Here is a 24149-nt window from a genome sequence, read left to right on the forward strand (position 1 = left end):
GGAAAGGGAGTGAAACCTGGTCTCCAAAAAATAATAAAATAAAATAAACGCCCATTAGCATAGACAAAGAGAAAGACAAGAAAGTAAAACCTTAGCTTATGTTATTCCCTATTAGCATCTCTGATAATGGATTTGTTCATTAACAAGTTAGGAACTAATTGAACTGGAGATTCAAAATAATCTAAAAATTTCAGTTCTTGATGTTAGTACTGCTGTCTCTATGCACTATCAAGTGCACGGAAAGTATAGAGGTCAATGTATGGCACATCTGCTTTCCATTACCATGAAATTCACTTCAACACATCACTGTCATAAAAAAGTCCTATACTAAGCATTCTGTTGTTGGTATTGATCCTTCCCTTCCATGTTATGAAGATAGTTATTCATTTTTGCAGACTCAACATGGCATAATGCCTGGCACAGAGCTAATACTCAACATCTGTGAATGTATAAAAGAGCAGATAGTAGAGGCTCCATGCACTTCTGAATTGCTGACCATAATTGTTAACATTTTCTGAAAACTTACCAAACTCCAGGTGTAGTACCAAGTGCTTTATGTACATTGTTTCATTAAACCCTCACAACAACCCAATGAGGAAACTGAGGCACAGAGACCTGTCCAAGATCATAGACTACTAACTGGAGGAAGTGAGATGCAGACAGAGGCAGCCTGGTTCCAGAGCTCAAGCTCTACACCACGCTGCAGTACTGCCTCCCGTATTCTAGTCCTCTCATGAAGGCTTGCTGATGGTCTAGCACATCCTTCATGCTCTGCGGGACACAAAACCAGACACAATTTTAACCTTGCTCTTTGGAGTTAAGAGTGAGAGTTAAGTGGTATTTATACAATTAACTCCAATATGAAGCAGAATTTAACAAGTATGTCTAGAAATGAGGCTGAAGGTACAGAAGACAGGAACACAACTCTTAGCTAGGATGGGAGAGAAATGGAAGGTTGCATAGACCAGGGACACATAGGCTGGGCCTTAAATTATATAGAAGATCTGCAAAGGCAGAGATAGAGACCAGATTATAGTCAGCAAAATCATCACATGTCAGAAAAGTCAGTGTGTGTCTGGGGCTATCTGGGGCACAGGGTATCTTCAGGAAGCAGTAATGATGAATCCTTTAATGATACTCTACCAATTCCCCCGGTGTGAAAACATATCAAATCTTGAGGTACAGAAAGGGGGACAAACCGAGGACTCCCAAAACTAATCAAAGAATACTCTTGAAGTTCTGAACATTAATGAGGATGAGGACCTCACTGAATGGCCACTTCTGTACAAACTGAGTTTGAAGTCACAGAAATGTTAGAACTGTAATCCTAAAACTCAGTTAAGAGGGAAGTGCATCTACAAATCAAGACAGACCTCCAGCTGAAAATGCCTCAACAGACACTTGCATAGGCCTTCCTTCCACCTTTCCGTGTGCAAACGGATACTGTGATTTTGAGAATGAAACATGATAGCTCCTGCATCCACTACTAACAAAAGCAAGTGACTGGCAATGAGGGTAAATCAGGCCTCCCTTGAGTTGGTCCTTGAAGGTGCTATCAAATTAACGTATGTCTAACAATTCTGTCTCCATTCAAATCAATTCGCCTAGGTAGCTAACCTGCTCACTGTTTCTCTAACAAGGTAAACAATGGATTAGTAAAAACTACACATATCAGACCTGGTTTCTTACAACATTAGGCTCAAAATGCAAGATTTACATAAAGAGAACATCTATGGTGAGAAATAATTTGCTTAGACAGGAAATTTTATCACTGCCATTCAGTTAGTTGGAAAATGAAGATTTAGAGATTTGGGGAATTCTCTAATGTTCTACATAAGCATAGGGTAAAATAAAAACTTCGTATTTCTTTGAATTAATATCCAATTCTCTTCTAGAGGAAATTTTATTGAATTGGAAGTGTAATTCTTCTGTTTAAAAGAAAGCCTCAGCCAGGCATGGTGGCTCACACCTGTAATCCCAGCACTTTGGGAGGCCGAGGCGGGTGGATCACAAGGTCAGGAGTTCAAGACCAGCCTGGCCAACATAGTGAAATCCTGTCTCTACTAAAAATACAAAAAAAATTAGCCAGGGGTGGTGGCGGGTGCCTGTCCTCCCAGCTACTCAGGAGGCTGAGGGGGAGAATTGCTTGAACTTGGGAGGCAGAGGCTGCAGTGAGCTGAGATCACACCACTGCATTCCAGCCAGAGCAACAGTGCAAGACTCCGTCGTCTCAAAAAAAAGAAAAAAGCCTCATTATTTTTTATAATGATCATGCTGATCATACTGCTATTCTAGTCACTGTCAATAAACAAAATGACAATAAATAACCATTACAAGGCAGCAATTAACATGATGGTACCTCCTAACTTCTAAGCTTGTTTCTTTAACGTGAAAACACTATTTCTATTGGCAAGTATGTAGATGAGAGCTGAGTCTTCCTGAAGGACAGATTGAAAGAGTTTTCACAAATATTTAAAATCACAGAAAAAGTAATGTTCTGAAACATTTACAGAAATTAATAAAAGTATCTCATCTTTGTGTAGATTAAATATTAAAATGCACTTATATAACTTTTATTAAAATAATTAATATTTAACGAAGACAATTGAAAGAACACAACTATGACAAATTACATTTTGGCAGTAATGATAAGCCTTTGAGTTCTAGTTCTTTCTCCTTAGGGATGTTACATATCTGTTTTCTCTACTTAAATCACTCTGCCTCATTATCATCTCTGCCTTCTACTCTCAGTTCAGCTTGAAAGTTCATCTTATACAGGGTTACACGATTTTATAATATCAGATAACTCTCTTTCACACCACTTACCAGAGCTCTAATACTAACTTATGTGTCTCATTCTTGGTTGAACATTTCTCTACCTCACTAGATTATAAACTCCTTGAGGGCAGGCACTGGTTCCACTCTCTTCCACTAAATCCCCAACTCCAAAACCCTAACACCTTAACACCTAATATATATATCACCATTTACATATCAGTCACTCAATAAATATTTGAAGAACGAAATGACAAAATACCCTTTACCTGAATGCTTACCTAAAAATGTATCTTATATATGGAATGAATGATCCACACTTACTACATGGATGTATAAACTCAAACATTATACTTTTCTTTGCACATTTGAGAATATGTGTCATAAGCTATGTTTACAATGATATGGAAACAAAAACTTGTCTATAACAAAAACATGCCCATAGCAATAACAGCAACAACAAGAAGTGGTTCCAAATTCAAGGTGGTAGCACAGCTTTTTTCAAAAATTTGAGAAAAAACAAATCTATTAAAACAGAAGATATAGTCTCTTGGACTCCACTAAAATGAGTCTGTTCAGGTCTACTACAAAACACATCTTTAAGAGAGATTCATGGCCTTAGTAGCCAGACAGTAGGTATGGCCCAGACCTTCCCAGCACAGCCTATGTATTGAAGACTTTAGTGAAAACACTCATGTCAGCAAATTTAGCATGGATAATTGCAATAGGAAGTTCTATAACTTTGCTTTAGGGAAAAAAATTCTATTTTAATTTTCATTCCCAAACAGAATTATGTTAGAATAACAAAATAAACTTCCCCACATTTATCTGTTTTTTAAAAATGATAGTCTCAAGGAAGAGAAACTTTCTTTTCATTCATTTAATAAAGATTTTTGCATTTTATTTAAAGACTCCTTATGGCTATATTTTAAGGATTCAAGTTCATTTATTTGTGATAACTAGAAAAATTTTTTGTCCCTTTGTGAAAATTTTGGAACTAGGCATATTTTCATTACTGTTTTCATTATTACTGACAACTTGGCTCCCTGCTCTGGGAAATATTTCTGGAAGAAAAGAAAAAAAAAAAAAAACTATGAATCAACTAACTTACTTAGCAAGGTCATCAGCTTACTCACCAGGGCTTATTTCAAGACCCTCTCTGTGCCACAAACACAAGACTACTTTGTCTAAACTCTTGTCCAATTCCAATCATTTCTCTGACTTGCAGTACCTGCCTTAAAGTAATGCAGAACAAGCCCAGAACTCCATAAATGTGCTCTCCTAATTTATCCATTTTGAGCAACTAATCAGATTCTCTCAATCTTGTATATTCTTTTCCTATAGATCTAAAATCATAGCTTTGCTTGATCAACAGGTTTTTCCGGTAGTCTTGTGGAAACTTGACAGTAGGCATTCATCTTATATCCACTACACAGAAACCTGAGTTCACAGATGTTGTCTTAGTCAATGCCATACACACACACACACACACACCTGTGACCAGCACAGTGGTTGGCACATAATATGTGATCAATAAATGCATACTTAGGAAAGAAGATTTTGTTCTATAGTATTACAGAGGGTCAAAGTTCTTATAAAGGAGAGTCAGTTACTAAAACTAAACTGATATTCTATCTTCTCATGTGGTCTTTCGGCATCAGTCCTATCCTACACAATAATGCCTTGCAATCTGTAGTTGTGAAATTAGACTTCTTTTTATGTGTGCACAAATTAAGCCAGTTTCTACAAATTAAAGAACATCCAGCAATTATTGCTCTCCTTCAAGCTGACCAATAGGATAAGTTTAAGCAGTAGTTTTGAGAATTTGTTTTTGCAATTTTTTTTTTTTTTGAGATGGAGTCTCGCTCAGTCGCCCAGGCTGGAGTGCAGTGGCATGATCTCGGCTCACTGCAAGCTCTGCCTCCTGGGTTCACGCCATTCTCCTGCCTCAGCCTCCTGAGTAGCCGGGACTATAGATACCCGCCACCAGGCTGGCTAATTTTTTGTGTATTTAGTAGAGACCGGGTTTCACTGTGTTAGCCAGGATGGCCTCGATCTCCTGACCTCGTGATCCGCCTGCCTCGGCCACCTAAAGTACTGGGATTACAGGCATGAGCCACTGCACCCGGCCTGTTTTTGTAATTTCTTATACTACAATGTTTCCTTCTGGAGACAGAGGAAGTCCAGCAGATGAAGTCTAAAATACTCTGCTTATTTTGTGAAAAGACCAGGCATTCACACAAGCGTTTTTCTCAAAGCTGAGAAAAAGGAGGCTGAAGGTGCAAAAGATATCAGAGTACTCATTCAGAACCCAAGAGTCTATAAAATATAAACCTGGTGAGAGAACTGGCCTCAGCCAATGGAGATGCCTCAATAGTGTTTGTGTCACGAGCGAACAAGGTGAATCATAAAAATATTTTTTAAACTTCTGTTTCAAAGGTGCAAAAGGCATATATATTAGTCTCTTTGCATTACTCTAAAGGAATACCTGAGACTGGGTAATTTTTAAAGAAAAGAGGTTTATTTGGCTATGGATCTGTAGGCTGTATAGGAAGCATAACACTAGCATCTGTTTGGCCTCTGGTGAGGGCCTTGGGGAGCTTACAATCATGGCAGAAAACAAAGGCGAGCCAGCATGTCACAGGGCAAGAGAGGGAGAAAGAGAGAGAGTAGAGGAAGTCCCAGCCTCTTTTAAACAGCCAGATCTCATGTGAACTCACAGACTGAGAACAAACTCACTCATTACTGCAAGGATGACACCAAGCCATTCATGAGGAATCCACCCTCATGTCCCAAACACCTCCCACCAGGCCACTCAACCAACAATGGGGATTACATTTCAACATGAGATTTGGAGCGGACAAGCATCCAAAGTATATAAGTACAGCAGCTAGAACTTTCAGTTACTTAAAAAAAATCTTGCTGACATCTTAATTACCTGCTGAAGTCCTGGTGGTCAGCAAGAAAGCAGTGAAAACATTTAAAATTTCAATTTTCATATTAATGGTCCTAATTTCTGGATCTGGTTTTCTCTTTTAACCATTTGCATAAAAATGTTTTGTGAGGGACATATAAAGAAGTTGGAAGCTGCAGATATAGGCGTTAAAAAGGAATTATTTAGCAGACAGTGAGGGTATGGAGTCCTCCGTAAGGTTTTCCTTTGAATGAAAAGCAGCCGCCAAATCATTTTCTTTTCTAACAAAGAGCAGCCTGTAAAATCAAGCTGCAGACCCAGACAAGCAAGCTGGAAGCTTGCAATGGATGAATGCCAGCAGTTGTGCCAATAAGAAAAAGCTACCTGGTACTAAGCATGCTCAAAATGGCAGCTCCATCTTCCCTTTTCTTTGCCAGCCACATGTAGAGTAACGAGCAGGCAACATGGCGCCAGCTGGGAGAAGTCGCCATTTGCTTAAGATCAGGGTAGGGCATCCAGCTTCCTCGCATGTTATGTAAACATCACACCTCGTCCAACCAATCTTTGGGCCCTATGTAAATCAGACACCGCCTCCTCAAGCCTGCCTATAAACTCCAATGCACTCTGCCACAGGCTGGAAGTCTCATTCAGGCACCCTTTTCTCTCTCAAGAGAGAAAGCTGTTCTCCTTTCTCTTTCTTTTGCCTATTAATCCTCAGCTCCCAAACTCACTCCTTGTGTGTGTGTGTCCCTGTCCTTAATTTTCCCGGCATGAGATGACAAATCTCGGATATTATCCCAGCCAATGACACTGCTTCACTGCAATTTGCAACAAGAAAAATATTTACGACAAGGAAAAAAGATGAACCAACTGGAAATTAATGACTTTTTTAGATTCAGCAGAGAACTGAGGTCCAAAGCAAACTAGTATCCCCAAATTTGGAGAAACATGTAAACACAAAGAATCATAAGATCAGATTACCTAAAGCAAAAACAGAAGGACCTAGGAACTGATACGAACACGTGTATGATAATTTTGACAAATTGCTGGAGGCTCAGTGCAGACTAGCTTGAGAGTTAAAAACTCTTGCAGCCTAGTCTTAGGGGAGACTATACTTTTCTGAGTTTTATGTCCAAGAACCCTATCATGTTCTCATGGGGAAGTCTGGAGAAAAATCTCAGGGAAGAGAAAAAGTAACCATTTTGGAAGTTTCCCAGATTGTTCTCTGTAAGAAAGACACGTCCTTTCAGGGAAGCTATTTTACCAGAGTTCTATCTGACTTGGGAGAAGGGCAATTAGTCCCCTCCAGACTCTTTTAGCCTTCCTGTCTAATGTCAGGGGACGAAAAAAGGGCTCAGAACATTTCAGAAGATCGCAGCCTAGAAACTCAGGCTCACTAAGAAAACTGAGATGTAATCATAATATACAACAATTATCCTTCCTGAGACCTCATCACCACGTGAAGAGGTCTTTGGTGATTACAACTGAGAGGTGAAACACACAGACTCTATTGAATAAGGAGCTCTTAGGAAAGCCCAAAGACAACAGGGAAGACAAAAAATACGAGCACACAGAAGCATCTGGAACTTAAAGCTACAGCAAGCATTAAACACAGTCCAGCTCTAAGCTAGATTAACATAAAACCTCATAACAAAAAAAAAAATTCTTAGTTCCCATCACTCGAGGTATTATTTCCAGCTTTCAACAACAAAAATAAGGCATGCAAAAAGAAATTTCTTAAAGATAAACTTTAAACTATTTTAAACTAAATAAAAATGAAAATAGAGCTTAGCAAAATTTGTGGAATGCAAGGAAAACAATGCTTTGCAGGAAATTTAAAGAACTGAACACATATATCAAAAAAGAAGAAAGATCTAAAATCAATAATCTAAACTTCTGTTAGAAACCCACAGAAAGAAAAACAATTTAAACCTAAAGCAATCAGAAGAAAAACAGAATAGAAATTAGAGCAGAAATCAATTACATTGAAAATAGGAAATCAATCAGAGAAAAATTAACAAAACCAAAAGCTAATTATTTTCAAAAGATCAATAAAATTGCTAAACCTCTAGTCAGGCTAACCAGGAAAAAAAGAGCAACAATACAGATTACTAACATTAGAAATGAAAGAGGGGTCATCACTACTGATCTCACGGATATTAAAAAGATGATAAAGAAATATGATGAACAACTCTGTGATCTCAAATTTGATAACTTAGATAAACAGAGGCAATTCCTTAAAAGAAACAAACTACCAAAACTCACAAAAAGAGAAATAGATAATCTGAATAGGTCTATTCAGGTTATATCTATATCTGTATCTTTTTAAAACATTGAATCAATAATTAACTTTCTAAAAATAAATAATAAATTGGGTCCAGACAATTTAACTGATGAATTCTATCAAATATTTAAGCACAAAATGATAGCAATTCTCTACAACCTTCTTTAGATAGGTAAAGCAGAGGGAACACTTCCTAAGTCATTATGTTATACCAGCATTACTCTATAGCAAAATCAGAATACACGTGCAAACCCCATTAAAAGAAAGAAAAACTAGAAATTAATATCGCTCGTGAACATGATATAAAAAGCGTCAACAAAATCTTAGCAAATCAAATCTAATAATGTATAAAAGTTATTATATACTACAACTAGGATTTATTTCAGGTACACAGCTGGTGGAACGTTCAAAAACTCAACAAACATTCCTAGCACTTTGGGAGGCCGAGACGGGCAGATCAGGAGGTCAGGAGATCAAGACCATCCTGACTAACACAGTGAAACCCCGTCTCTACTAAAAATACAAAAAAATTAGCCAGGTATGGTGGCAGGCACTTCTAGTCTCAGCTACTTGGGAGGCTGAGGCAGGAGAATGGCGTGAACCTGGGAGGCGGAGCTTGCAGTGAGCGGAGATCGTGCCACCGCACTCCAGCGTGGGTGACAGAACGAGACTCTGTCTCAAAAAAAAAAAAAAAAACAATAGAAGAAAACCAAACAACAAAAAAAACTCAACAAACGTAACTTAGCGTATCAACTGGCCAGAGAAGAAAAATCATATAATAGCAACAGATACAGAAAAGCACTGACAAAATCCCACACTCATTTATGAGTAGAAACTCTCAGCAAACTAGGAATAGATGAAACTTCGTCAACTCGATACCAAAAAATCTACAAAAAAACCTACAGCTAACATGACATCATACTCAATGGAGAGAAACTGGATGCTTTAAGATCAGTGTAGTATAGTAGGCTGACTAATGATCTCCCAAAGATATCAGGTCTTAACTTTTAAAACATGAAAATGTTACCTTCTTTGAAAGAAAGGACTTTGTAGCTGTAACTAAATTAAGAATTTTAAGGTGAGAAGATTACCCTAAGTTATCTGAGTGGGCCTTAATGCTATCAATCATAAATATCCTTATAAGGTAGAGGCAAAGGTGAAATAACACAGACTCATCAAGAAGCCAGTGTGACCAGGAACACAGAGATCACTGTCACACCCACACCCACAACCCAAAGAATATATGGAGCTACCAGAAGCTGTCAAGGAATGGATTTCCCTCCACAGCTTCTGTGGGAGTACGGCCCTGCTGACACCTAGATTTTAGACTTCTGGCTTTCAGAACTGTCAGGGAAGAAATTTCTATTGTTTGAAGCTACCAGTCTGTAATAATTTGATATAGCAAGCTACTGAGAACAAGGCAAGATTTTCCCCTGTTAATACTCCTATTCAACAGCATAATGGAAGACCTAGGTAAAAGTAAGACAAGAAAAGGAAAGAATATTAAGAAAAAGATATAACGATTGGGAAGAAGAAAATAAAACTGTTTTTGCTCTCATGATATGGCTGACTATGTAGAAAAATCCTAAAAAATTGACAAAACATTCTCTAGAACAAATAAGCAACTGCAGCAATGTTTCAGGATAAAATTTTTCTTTTATCCTGAAAAAAACAGGATAAAATATTTCTTTCCAATATGCCAGAAAATAACAAATGGAAATTGAAATTAGAAGCACAATATCACTTATATTAGCGTAAAAAATAAAACACATAGATGTAAAAATCTAACAATATATGTACAGGATCTGTAAGGAAATATAAAAAATTCTGATGAAAGAAATAAAATCTAAATAAACGAATAGATATTCTGTGTTCATGGATAGGAAGACTTGATACTGTTATCGGTTCTTCCCAACTTGATTATACATTCAACGCAGTTTCAGTCAAAATCCCAGAAAGTTATTCTGTGAATATCAAAAAGCTGATTGTAAAGTTCATAGAGAAGGGCTCAAGATCCAGAATAGCCAATAAAATATTGAAGAACAAAGTTGAAGGAGTGATACTACTCAACTTTAAGACTTGCTACAAAGCTACAGCGATCAAGACAGCATGGTACTGGTGACAGAATAGGTAAGTGAATCAAAAGAACAGAAGAGGAAATCCAGAAATAGACCAATACAAACATAAACAACTTGCCCTGGACAGAGGAGCAAAGGCAATTCAATAGACAACAAATAGTGCTAGAATAACTGGACATCCATATGCCAAAAAAAAAAAAAGGGGGGATCTACACACAGACCTTACACCTTTTACAAAAATAAACTCAAAACGCATCACAGAACTAAATGTAAAATGAAAAATGCAAAATGTAAATCCTCTGAAAGATAACACAGGGAAAAATACTAGATTTGAGTTTGGCAATTTGTTTATAGATATAACAACAAAAAATTATCTACAAAAAAAATTTTAAATTGAATTGTATTAAAATTTAAAACTTTTGCTCTACAAAAAATACTGTTAAGAGAATGAAAGGACAAGGCACAGAATGGTAGAAAATATTAACATCATATGTCATTAGGGGATTACAAATTAAAACAATGACATACCAGTATATACCTATTAGGATAGCTAAATCCATAAGACTGATAATACCAAATATTGGCAAGAAAGTGGAGTGATGGGAACGTTCATGCATTGTTGGTGGAAATAATGGTAAAATGGTATAGCCACTTTGGACTACAGTTTTACAGTTTCTTATAAATCTAAACATAGTTTCACCACAGAATGCAGTAACCAAGTTCCTAAGCATTTACTCAACTGAGTTGAAAACTAATGTTCACACAAAAGTCTGCTTAGGGAAGCTTATAGAAACTTTATTCATAATAATCTGTCTTTCACAACACGAGAATGTATAAACAAACTGTGGCAAATCCATACGACAGAATACTAGTCTACAATTTTTTCTTTAAAAGAACTCTTATGCCATAAAAAGGTGTGGAGGCACCTTACAGACATACTGCCATATGACATTATGGAAAAGGGAAAACTATAGAGGCAATAAAGGGATTACTAGTTACCAGGGATCCAATATAGTTTCTTAGGGCAATGTAGACTATTCTATACGAAACTGTAATGGTGGATACACGACAATATGCATCTGTAAAACTCCATAGAACCACAGAAGGCCAAGAGTGAACTTTAAAGTAAAGTATGAACTTCAGTTAATATAAATGTGTCAATATTGGTTCATTAACTTCAGTAATAAATGTGCCACACTAATGCAAGGTATTAATAGTAGGAGACACTTGGTGGTGGGGCGGGGATGGGGGAATAGTGGCGACACGGAAGGAAAATGTTATGGTAAGTCTCTCAACTATCTGCACAATTTTTCTGAAAATCTAAAGCTGTTCTAAAAAATAAAGTATTTTAATTTTATTTTAAAAAGTACATCTTAGAAAACATACCTAGGATGATCTCTAGGCTCTGGATCCAGAAACCCCTATTTCAAACAAGTAGGAAGATTCTTATGGCTGCTAAGATATCAGCAGTCCATGGTTTCAGGAATACAGAGCCCCAAGGTGAATACAACAACCAGACTGAAATAAGTGCAGTTCCAAGAATGGAGCTTAAACTGGAAAGACTAGAGAGCAGCTGGCTAGCTGTTTAGAGGTAACAGATGGCAGAACCCTCAGGATCAAGTCATCCTGAATGAAGAAAGACCTTTGGAGAGTGCACACTTGAGTAAATAGCGGCCTCTGTTCATGTTCTCCAGTAACAAAGAAATAAACTAATTAGATGGCATTCATAAGCAAGCTAAAATTCCTTTCACTGGAAATCTGGAAAGAACTGATTTAGGAGAGCGAAAAACAGGGATATATACACACACACACATACACACACACATACATGTTTGTAGTATCAGGAAATGCTCAACTTTGCTCCCTCAAGTCATCCAGTTCCAATGTTTTATATATGCTATTATATGTGACAAAATCATATAATATATATTAATACATATCATTAAAAATATGTAACTGTTAATGTAGCATAGGTATATATTTTTCACATACCATAACATTTATCCTTCTAAAATATGTAATTCAATGCTTTTCAGTATATTCAGAAAAACATGTATCCATCACCATTATCTAATTCCAGGACCCAATTTTGTTTTTAACACATCTCAAATGTAGATTACAAAAAAAGAATTGATCCACTAGGGATACGGTCTGTAAGAAGCAGCCTAGATTTTTTAAAAATGTTTTTCTTCTACTCTACATGTAAATAAGTCTGCATCCTGTCAGTATTTAAGGTTTTCTTTCTTTCTAACAATCATGTAAGGCTGGTATTTTTTAAAGTTTCCACTCAGAAGACTGTCTTCCTGACCTGTAAAGAAATTAAGTGTAAAAATGTATGCAATTGGACTAAATAATGAAAAAGAGGTTGAGAAGAGTGCACCGAAAGAGGTAAAAAAAGGAGACTATGGGCCAAAGGTATACAATAGGGAAAATAAAAGAAGTTTCTAGGGCACTGCAGAAAGACAATGTATTCTAGTGATTACCTTTATTAGACTCTATTGGATCAGGAGCCAGTTCATTAAACATTAATGGCAGGGGAATGCCATCCATATATTATAAATAGCCATTAAGTTGAGATAGACAGCTCTGCCCAGGGTCAGTATGAATTAATAAAAAAAACTGAAGCTGGCATTTCAGAATCATAAAAAGATAGGTTTAGTAGAAAATATTCAATAAGAAGGAAGAAGAACAGTATATATTACACTATTTGTCTGAAGAGCAAACTGAAAATGAGAACAAACTTAACATAAACCTAAAAAGACCCTTCATGAATGAAACACTTATTTCTCGAAAATGGATGTCACTTACATTTAAGAATCGTAACAGTACAATGTGTGACATTGGCAAATGGTAAATGTAAAGACAAATGAGGTGTAGACGTTCAGCTAGAAATTAGACAAAATGTGAATGCAAACAAAATATCCTCACTGAACACAGTTCCAAACATAGTATGTGGCAGCAGGAGAACTGAAGTTATTAACAGATAAGGTCTAATTTCCAATTTATCTATTGAGTTAATCCTGAAACCTATCCCACTTGCCTGTATTTACAAGGTAGGTCATCTTAGTTTTACCATGAGTTTTCACTATTTTAAGAGAGAAATCATGTTATGAAACATGGTACTGATAAGATACTTACATAAAGAGCTACACTTTTTTAATTTATTTTTCTCACTTTCTTTGCTAATTTACACCCATTGTTTCTGAGTAATCTGAAGAATGAGACATTCCCATTTTTTTATGTATCATAATGTTTCTAAGATAACGCATGGACTTTTTAAAGAATTTCATGGTAGCAAATATTATGACTCAAAGTCAATATGACCCTGGTTAACAAAAATGATCAAAAACTAGGAAATAAAGCTAACAGTAGTGGTAGCAATGGTGTATGTGGCGTGTCTGTTCAATACTGTACTAGAATTTTGTTCCCCAAGCCCACTCAAGGATTATTTAATTCTCTAAAAGAACATATCTGTGTTTGGCTTTGCTATATACATTTTGATTATTGTACCACCACTGTCAAGTTATAGGTTAACTTGTAGTTTTTGTCTAGTACGAAAGAACCACTGAAGTTTATGGTTTAATTGTCCTGTGGGATACTAATCAGTCTTGTATAAAACCTAGTAATTTTATTCAAATATTCTCCCTCTCCAACTCCTTTTTAACAAAATGTCTAGAAGTACCCAGGTCCTCAAAATGCCCCTGGATTGCACTGGTTTCTTCATTAAAGACATATTAAATGTTGGTATATATTTATTCTGTATTTTTATTATAGTCATATTAACCCTTAGAAAGTAGTATTTTTCACTCCACCAAGCACCTGTGTAAGATTTTTTAAAAAAATAAACATTTGCCAATGTTTTGAGAGGTGAATTAACTCAAGTAAGGCATAACCAGTAATGCCAAAAATAGGTTTATGCCCCATGAATTATCTCTCCAGTGGTCTGCCAGCCACCCATAAAAGTACATTTTTAAGTTATACTATAGAATGAGTGAGATAAATAAAATGAATAATGAACGGCAGACTTAAAAATTATGACATTTTCTTAATCTTCATAAAGCCTGTGATGGATTTTTCACTTGTCTACTTGGCTAAGGTGAACTACAGTCCCTCCCCACTTGTTCAAACACAGATCTAGATGCTGCTGTAAAGAGATTTTTCAGGCATAATTACAGTCCCTAATCAGTTGAGTTTAATTTTAGGAAATCATCTTGGGTGGGCCTAACTTAACCAGTTTGAACACTTTAAAAGAAGACTGAGAAAGTCTTGTACTTGGTGTTGGCTGCCAGCTGAGATCTTGGCTGAGACTGTCAGCTAGAACTCTATTTTTTAAATTTTATTGTTTAAATTGACACACAGTCGATGTACATAGTTTTGAGGTACATGTGATAATGTAATACATTCATATTACTTAGCATTGGGATATCCATCACCTTAAATATTTGTCTTTTCTTTATGCTAGATACATTTCAATTATTTTCTTCCATCAACTAGAACTCTTATAACTCACGGCTAGCCACTCCACGTGATTTGGCTTCTCTCACAGCATGGCTGTTGGATTCCAAAGAAAAGCATCCCAGGAGAGGGTAAGTGGGTGTAGAGGGGGAGGAAGCAGGGGTGGGGAGCACACACCAACATGCATGAGGTGAATGCTATTCACTCCACCTGCACTGAGTGCATCCTACTCTATTCTCTATCCTAGTTTCAACAGAAGGAAGAGAAAACAGACTCCACCTCCTGATAGTGTATGACAAGAATCTGGAACACCACAATGAACTAGAAATGCAGGTGTGGCCACTTTTGGAAAATGTAATTATGCCACAACAATCTTTGACTATTTTTCTATTGTATCATTTTCATAATGGTTTTTAGAAACTTGGAATAAATTAGAGTCATTAGCCCTATGTACATAATATGAGTTGCAAATATTTTTCCCTCAAACAAATGTATTTTTGTTATTCTTACGTATCTTTTATCTCAGAATTCTAAGTCCCTTGGAAGTATGCAAATTTTATTGAAGGGAATTGAATTTTTAAAAGAAGCACTTGTAGAGGACATTTTCAATATTAGTGCTATCAGTTAAGTAATTTACAGTAACTCTTATGGTACCCAATCTTTCTCTCACAGTGATATTTACAAGTTTAAACATTTTTTATCTCAAACAGAGTGGCCTCTGAATTTTCCTCCTAACAAGGAGCTTAATCTACTATAGCAACCATAATGAAAATGTTATTTAAAAATCAGACAAGAGCAACAGGGAAAGTCGGTGTTTGCTATTTAAATTGTTTTTGTATCAATGGGCTTAGAACACTGTGGAGCTATATCATTTTATTCAGTTTTCTTTCATTTTAATGTCACTGAAAGGTCAAGCAATAATCCAGAGATCAATTTACCATCCCATGCACATTGCTTCCCTCCAATTTGGGAATATAAATTCAAATGTAAGATGGTCTTCACCCAAGCTCTTCCCTGCAAAAAAAAGTTAAGGCCTCAGATATTTTTATATCTACAGAGCAGAGAAGGCTTTACTTCAAATAAATGCTGTTGCAATTAGCCTGATGACCCTTCTTTTGCCTTTTAATATTTTGATATTAGCAGGTTCTACTTTTCCTCCTGATGCCGAAAAAACCATGTCATGTTAACAAATTCCTTAAATGTTGAACTCAGTCAGATCATCTATAAAATGCAACAATATCATCTCCCTACCTATCTGTTAAGTTTATTATGAAGACAAAGTAAAATTTCCATTTTTTTTTCAGACAGAGTCTTGCTCTGTCACCCAGGCTGGAGTGCAGTGGCAAGATCTTGCCTCACTGCAGCCTCTGCCTCCCAGGTTCAAGCAATTCTCCTGCCTCAGCCTCCCCAGTAGCTGGGATTACAGGTGTGCGCCACCACACCCGGCTAATTTTTGTATTTTTAGTAGAGACGGGCTTTCACCATGTTAGCCAGGCTGGTCTCAAACTCCTGGCCTCAGGTGACCTGCTGGCCTCAGCCTCCCAAAGTGCTGGGATTACAGGCATGAGCCACCACACCCAGCCAAAATTTCTGTCTACTTCTGACATTAGACTGCTGAGAGTACTACATATATGACAGTTTATTAGTATTGCTTTTAATACTTAGAACACTGTTTGAGACACATATTAAGTGCTTAATAAATTTTACCTGGTGTTTTTGTGATATGCTTTATTTTATTTAAGAATTTAAGGGGATCAAGTGTGGAAAGAGAAGACCTACCATCTCATCATCAAGTATTATGTGCATATAGCATGAGAGGAAGAGAGAAGAAAAATGGGGAGACAAAGAAGGAAAAGGAAAAGAAAGGATTCAGGGTTCTCTGATTATCTCTGTGCAGGTAAGCTGAGGGAAACTGCACACACTTCATCAGCACCAGTGGGTTCCCATCCAGCCTCTTTCATTTACTACTGATATGACCTTGGGAAAGATACATAACCCCTCTGTATCAGTTATCTATTGCTACTTGACAAATTAACCCCTAAAATTCAGGGCTTCAAACCACCATAAATATTTAGTATCTTATACAGGTTCTGCAGGTCATGAAGTTTGAAGCTGATTAGCTGAGTGGTTCTGACTCAAGGTCTCTGGGAAACTGGAGTCACAACACCCACCAGGTTGGGAATAATCTGCAGACTTGGCTGAAGCTGAAGCATCCACCTCAGGTTCACTTACAAGGCTGGAAGTTGGCGCTGGCTGTTGGAAAGAAACTTTATTCCTTGCTAGAGGAAGCTCTCCATAAAGCTGTTTAAGTGTTCTCACAAAATGGTGACTAGCTTTTCCCAAAATGAGTAAGATTTTATGACCTAGACTCTGAAGACGCACACTGTTGCTTTCACTGTATTCTACTGGTCAAAGAGATAACATAATACAAGGTGGGAGGAGATGTCACTAGGAGGAGAATTTTAAAAGGTAAGGATCACTGGAAGCCACCTGGAAGGCTGGCTACCGTGCCCTCAAAGTCTCTGATCCAGCATCTATAAAATGAGAATAATAATGACTTCTACCTCACAATGTTGGTGGAAAGATTAAATGACACCATGTATTCAAAGTGACTGTGGTCCAGCACTTGCTCCACGAATTGCAAACCTCCTTAATCATTCTGTTTTCTAGGTTCTGGCACAGTGTGTGTGTGTGTGTGTGTGTGTGTGTGTGTGTGTGTGGAGGGGGGTGTGGGTGTGTGCACGCACACATGCCTGGGTCCATTTGGCCACCTGATGAAGTCTGTGTACAACTTCCAAAAATCATACTTTTAAAAAAAAGTACATAGGATTATGAGAATACAGATTATACTAGAACATAGCCATGAAAATATTTTAAAATATATGTAATACACTAATATTTGTTTCTTTATTAAGACATTATACAATGAAACCCAATGGAAGCTTTAACAACTATATCTTCAAAGGAATGATAAGCACAAATGTTTTGGGATACATATAATAACTGAAATATGATTAGACAGTATCTGTGATTTCTATTGGTGAGAAAGTCACAAGTACTGCCAATGCCACCGTGGTCTTTTGCCTATATTCACACTTGAAAGAAAGGCTAAAATCTACTCAGAGGTTAGTGTAAGTGAAGATATCATTTTTTTAATCCAAGTTTAAAGTTTTCATAAACACTCTCCACAAACCCAATGGGGTTCACCGGACCCTGGACTAAACTTAATTTACTTTAAAAGAAAGAGGAGGAAAGAAGAATAAGAAGACCATTCTAGTATTTAATATTCTCTACAAATAATTTTCTTCCTATTAAATTTCCTACTGTACACAGGAACATCTGTTCTCCATGGTTCTCTCATTTCAAAATGATCACTCATTTCATTGGACATATACCTACATAATACTTTCATTTAAACATATTTTAATGAATCTTTAGACCTAGATAAATGGATTTACAGAAGTGCTACATTAAAAGGCCATTTTAAGTTTGGGATCGAAAGGACCTTTAATTTATAGCTCCAGAAAATATCCATTCCATGGCTCAAAGATCCTTGTGGATTATAAAAGAGGAAACGACTAACAGAAAAGGAATTATTCACCACATTATTAAACATGACAAAAAGCTTCTGAATTGGAGCTTAAAACGGGCTATTTAAGATTCCAGCAATCCCTAGGACTTTGGCAACAAAAATGTTCAAAAGCCTTTTATAGTTGCTGTCAGATTTCTGTAAAGCATTTGAGATTCCTGTGAACTTATTTATATAACAAGCTAAAACCTGAAGCTGACTTGAAAGTCTTTCTATTCTAATTATGTAGAAATGGAAATGCCTAGAAATGATGTTCCGTGTTCTCCCAAGAATATCCTCTTGAAATGGTGGTTTCAGAACCGGGTATTTAGAAGAAGGAATGAGAGTGTAGCTGCTATGGTTTATTACACGGAACCATTCAGCAGATATACAAACTATAGTTTAGCAAAGTGGCTTCAAAGAACTGCCATTTAGTTATTCTCTCTGCAGCAGCACATTCTAAATGACTGTTCATATTGTTCCCTCCTGGCCCACTACAGTGGTTTATTTCTGAAGCTCTATAGTTCATGTGTAATCATGTAGCAAAGTAATTCACGATATAATGACCCACCAGGATCTCAGCTGATTGTGGTTCTTATCACAATACTGTTTCTGATGCTATGCGTGGCTTTCCAAAGCCAACTTTTTAACCTCTTATGCTTCAGCATTCCAATTTGACACCAGGCCCCTCTGTGTTCCGAGAAGTCAGCACATACCCTAAGCTAGAAATGCTAGGAGATATTCCAACAGAAAAAATAAGATGGGTTTTGGGAAAGAGTACTGTGCTTGACAGCTTCTAAAATGGCTCCTAATCAGCCCACCACCTCCTGCTATTCACACCCTTATGTAATCTTCTCTCACTTTGAATGTGGGCTGGACCTAGTTATTTCCTTTTAACAAATAGAAATGTGATTTGTTTATAAATGACTGTGACTTCATCCTTTTCACCCTTTCTCTGCCCTCTTCCTGCTTGATGAGACAAGGCAAGCTGACCTATGGAGAGCCTCATGTGGCAGAGAACTGAGACCAACAGTCAACAACCCTAGAAGAACTGAGTCCTGCCAACAACCGTGTGAGTGAATCTGGAAGTGGAATGTCTCTAATCCTGACAATAAGATATTGACACCAACAGCAGAGATGTTAAAACATGTAGGGTCTCAGACCTTATCAAGGAAAGGTCTAGAAAAGGAATATGAAACCATTTTTTTCTAGTTCCAAAGCCTGTGCTTCATTCACTGCATTACACTGTGTCTCCAAATGAGTCCTGTTCCAAATACTGAATTGGGTTTTGCCTGTTTGGAAGTTGGAACTCATTTCCCTAGAGATAAAATGGCATAACTGAAATTAACAGAGATCTGACACAATAGCAGAGAGGGGAAGACAGAGGACTTGGGGTGGGAGGGCTCACAAAGGTGGCTGTGCCAAGAACTCCTGAGTCTTAGCAGTCTGATCCAGGCAGCTCATGGGGGCTGGAGGAGTGAAGTCCAAAGGCTGGACTGAGAAAATCACTTCCTGATTTGAGTTAGCTTTTACTTGATACTAGGATCTTTGTGGATTAATTAATTAAAAATCTCCAGATGAGACTAAAGCGGCCTCATTGTCTGGGATGATAATCAGGTTCATTGTCTCACAGCTGAGGAAATCAAGGCTGCAGACACACAAGGAGTGAGGTTAAATGGGGAAGTTTAATAGGCCAAAGAAAGAGAATAGCTCTCTGCTGGGGAGAGGGGTTCTGGAAAAATGGGTTGCCGGTCCACAGGGAAATACAGGGGGTTTTATAGATACCTGGTGAGGAGGCAGAGTCTGATTTACATAGGGTGAAAGACTAGTTGGACCAGGTGTGCCATTTGTATAGGGCATGAAAAACCGGTTAGGACTAGGTTTGCCATTTGCATAGGATGCAAATTTCTGGTCGCCTCCACCCTAATCTTTTATTATGCTGTCACGTCCTCTATCTGAGCTGTGCCATGTTGCCCGTTTCTTTACTGTACATATGGTAACAACAAAAAAAGGGAAGATGGAGCCTCCATGTCGGACATGCCTGGGCCCCAGGTAGCCCTTTTCTGTTAGCACAGCTGCCAGCATTCCCCTGTGCAAGCTTCCAGCTTGCTTATTTATGTTTTCAGCTCGATTTTTCAGGCTGCTCTTTGGTAGGAAAAAAATAATTTCTTGGGATGCTTTTCATTAGAAAGAAAATTCTGCTGAGAACTCTTTTACCCTTACTATCTGCTTAAATAATTTCTTTCCACTTCCTGTGTCAAAATTATCCATATTTAGAGTGAGCCTTAAATCCAATGACTGGTATCTTTATGAGAGAAAGGACTGGGAGATTTGGGCACAGTGACCCAGAGGAAAAGATCACATGGAAAGAGAGGAAAGATTGGAGCCAGAGTGCCACAGCCTAGGAATATCAGGAGCCACTAGAAGCTCGAAGAGGCAAGGAAGTATGCTCCCCTGAAGACTTCCCATGGAGTCTGGCCCTGTCCATATCTTGATTTCAGATTTTTGGCCTCCAGAACTGTGAGATGATAGATTCCGGTGATTTTTAAGCCACCAAGTTTGTGATAATTTGGCACAGCAGCCCTTAGAAATGACTACCAACACCAGTGATACTAATATTCAACTAGACGTGAGAGCCACCACTTGAAGCTGTGGCGCCAACCTTGCCAGGTGAACTGTTATTGAGCTCAAGGTAGGGCCCAGGTGGAAATCACTAGCAATGAGAACACCAGCTGCAATAATCACCAGAAAACCACCTTCATCTTCAAAACAAAATATTAAAAACCCACTGTGTTAAAAAGTCTTTTTTTAAGCAAGGCTGTTGTGAGACGCTTCGAAATAGTTGAATATAAACCAAGACCTATATTATACTGTAGTCGGATATCATCTCAGGATTAGCATACTGTGAGCAAATCCTCAACACGTTGGGAGTTCCCCTTCCCCTTCCAGATAAAAGTTGAAAAGCCTGAGAAAATCAGGGGTGTCCTCCTAACTTGGATGTTAGCTGCCGTCCATTTCTCTTGAGGTTTTCCTTTCTTTCTTTAACTTTTACAACCAAATATTTATAGTTAGTCCTGCTCTAAGAAAGCCTTAGAAGCCAGGATAAGAGCATATAATACTCAGAACAAAACTGTGTGAAACAGCCATATTATTCTATCTGTGACTTGATAATTAGATGTAACTAAATTGCCGGCCAAGATATCCCATACCCAAGCAATTATAGACACCAACTAACGAAGACAGGAAATCAAAGAATGAAAGCTGAATGCCATCAGTGGACATATCAGAAAACATCAAGAAAAGCTTTCTATGAAGAAAAAAAGTGTGCAACTCTTTTAAAGAAAGCCTAGTCATAAAATGAAATTGAAATGTGTATTTTTTTGTTTTATTGGCTTTATTTCAAATGGCTATTATTAAATCCCTGATAGTCAATTAAAAAACATTCACCAAACTAGAAATCTGCTGAAGTATACATGTATAAGCATGCCTAAATATATTACAAACTATTGAATTGAAACATTAAAACATTCTCCATAGCAACACTAAATCAAACTGATATTTCATTTTGGTTCCCCTGATGCCAATACATATAGTACATTAAACCCACAGCTTTCAGAGCATAAAAATGTCTTTGAAAACATACGTAATCTAGAGATGATGTTCAAATATAGTATAATATACACCTTGGTTTATAGTTATTATTTCTTTCCCAAGATTACATTTCTATGAGAAAGAAGAGGAGCCTAAATATGATATAGGGTCATTAATTTTAATGATGAAAACAGAAATTTTGACTTTGCCAGTTCTGACCATTGGGGAATCTGTGCCCATAGTAATAGATTACTCATGTCTTACTTGCACTTTTCCCAAAAATCTCAAGTCAAAGACCACAGAATTTATACGCTAGAAAATATAAGAAAAAAGGACACAGAAGCTAAACAAGAAAAGAAGAGGAAAAATATTCCAGTTATGGCTTCAAAGTCACTAATTTCCATGGAAGGAGATTAAGCGTATACTTTATCGACCTTCTCTGCCAGCAAACAACGTTTTATTCATGTCACTTAATGGGGAAGGAGGTCAGGTACAGATCTGAAGGTCACCTAACTATATGCTTTCTTCCACAGTATTATAGGGCATAGGGAAAGAGCCTAAAATATGCCTGCTGGTTGGAATTGAAAATGAAACGGTCCCTTGTTTAATGCCATAAAAAGTATCCTGAGAAAGTGTAGCTCTTAGGCTTTTCCTCTCCGAGGATTTAGGGAAAATCAACAGTGCCCACTGGACAAAACCACTTTAGATAAAGAGGAATGGCAAATTTAAGGGCTCACAAAATGTACTTAAAAGTTTAGAAATTGGGCTTTCAAATTATACCAGTCAAGTTTTACATGAATTAAGTCCTATTTTGAGCTAGGATGCATCATTATGGGAGGTAAACCAAAATCTTAAAAAATATATTAGTTTAGAATGAGAACTGTGCCTCAGGAGGTGCCATGGAATTCACTAGGAGGTAAACCTACTGCAAATTACATTTTAAAAAGCAATCTCAGCAATATATTCTTCTCTAAAACCACAAATTCATTTTGAATCAATATTTGTTATGAGTCCTTTTCAACATTTTTCCAGGAGCAACACAGCACTGTGTCTTCAGGGGTCGAAGAGGGAATCTACAGGACTTAAAAAAGCATAGGGAGTGAATATGGGGTCATAGCTTCTGTCATTGTTGAAAAGAGATGCCAGTAAGTTCTATGCATTAAAACAGACCACGCAAAGCACATCTGATGGAATAAGATAAATAACATAACAGATTCACTCTTGCATGTCCAAGCGTACTTCTGAGATGGTGAAATGCATTTGATGCACTGAAACATGAAACCATCAAAATCTACAGCTGGAAGGGACCTCAGAGATGAATCATTTGAAAGCCCTCCAGAGGAACCCAGGTTCCAGGAAATATGAAGAACGTGACCAAGGTCACAAGTTAGCTGGCAGCAGAACTTGCACCAGAATACTGATCTAATTTTATTATATACACTTTTAGTTTCTAAACACCAAGAGGCATGAATTTACAAACAATGAGTACAGCCACATGCTGTGCCTAAAATAACAATTACAAAAGTAAACCTACAGCCTCAGTTAAATTACTTACCTGTGTTTTTCCCCCACCATACAGAACATTACCATTCGCACAAAGGTCCCTCATGTTGCCCCTTTCTGGCCACATTAATTTGCTCCCGCCCTCACTCCTCTAACCATCCTTAATCACTGCCAACCACTCATCTGTTCTCCATTTCTATACTTTTGTCATTTTAAGGATGTTATATAAATGGAATCATACAACATATAACCTTTTGAAATTGGCTTTTTACGCTCAGTGAAGTTCTCTGGAGATTAAGCTGTATGTATCAATAGTTCATCTGAATGCAGAATAGCCTCCGTGGTATGGATGTACCACAGTTCATTTAACTATTCACCTGCAGAAGGACATCTGGATTGCTTCTAGTTTTTGGCCATTATGAATAAAGCTGCTAGGAACATTTGTGTAACGGTTTTTGTGTGGATCCAAGTTTTTGTGTTTCTTGGATAAATGACCATGATCACAAATGCTGGGTTGTCTCAGTCCGCTTGTGTCGCTATAAAGGAATACATGAGTAGCCAGGTCAGTGGCACAGGCCTGTAGTCCCAGCTACTCAGAAGGCTGAGGTGAAAAGATCTGTTGAGCCCAGGAGTTTGAGGCTACAGTGGGCTATGATTACACCTGTGAATAGCCACTGCACTCCACCCTGGGCAACACAGAAAAAGAAATCTCTTAAAAAATAGATATAAAGGAAGACCTGAAACTGGGTAACTTACAAAGAAAAAAGGTTTATTTGGCTCACGGTTCTGCAGGGTTTACAAGCAGCATGATGCTAACATCTGCTTCTGATGAGAACCTCAGGAAGCTCCCACTCATAGCTGAAGGAGAAGGGGAGCCAGCATGTAGAGATCACATACATGGCGAGACAGGAAGCAAGAGAGAGGGTAAAGGTGCCAGGTAGTTTTTGAGCAACCAGCTCTCAGGGAAATGCTCCAGGAACT

At 37.5% G+C, this 24149-nt stretch overlaps 1 protein-coding gene and 1 long non-coding RNA gene across 8 annotated transcripts in view; both read right to left on the bottom strand.

The window, feature by feature from the left end:
• FHIT (fragile histidine triad diadenosine triphosphatase) overlaps positions 1-24149 on the bottom strand; it is a 1504176-nt gene that overhangs the window by 524103 nt on the left and 955924 nt on the right. The window lies entirely within an intron of this gene.
• Positions 1-24149, bottom strand: part of LOC107986015 (uncharacterized) — a 100472-nt gene that overhangs the window by 15099 nt on the left and 61224 nt on the right. For both annotated transcript variants that reach the window (XR_007095935.1, XR_001740433.3), the window contains one exon: positions 1-24149. This exon is cut by the window's left edge and continues 15099 nt beyond it; it is cut by the window's right edge and continues 30472 nt beyond it. This is a non-coding gene — a long non-coding RNA (uncharacterized LOC107986015).

Source organism: Homo sapiens, chromosome 3, assembly GCF_000001405.40.
Source record: "Homo sapiens chromosome 3, GRCh38.p14 Primary Assembly".
Classification (NCBI taxonomy): domain Eukaryota; kingdom Metazoa; phylum Chordata; class Mammalia; order Primates; family Hominidae; genus Homo; species Homo sapiens.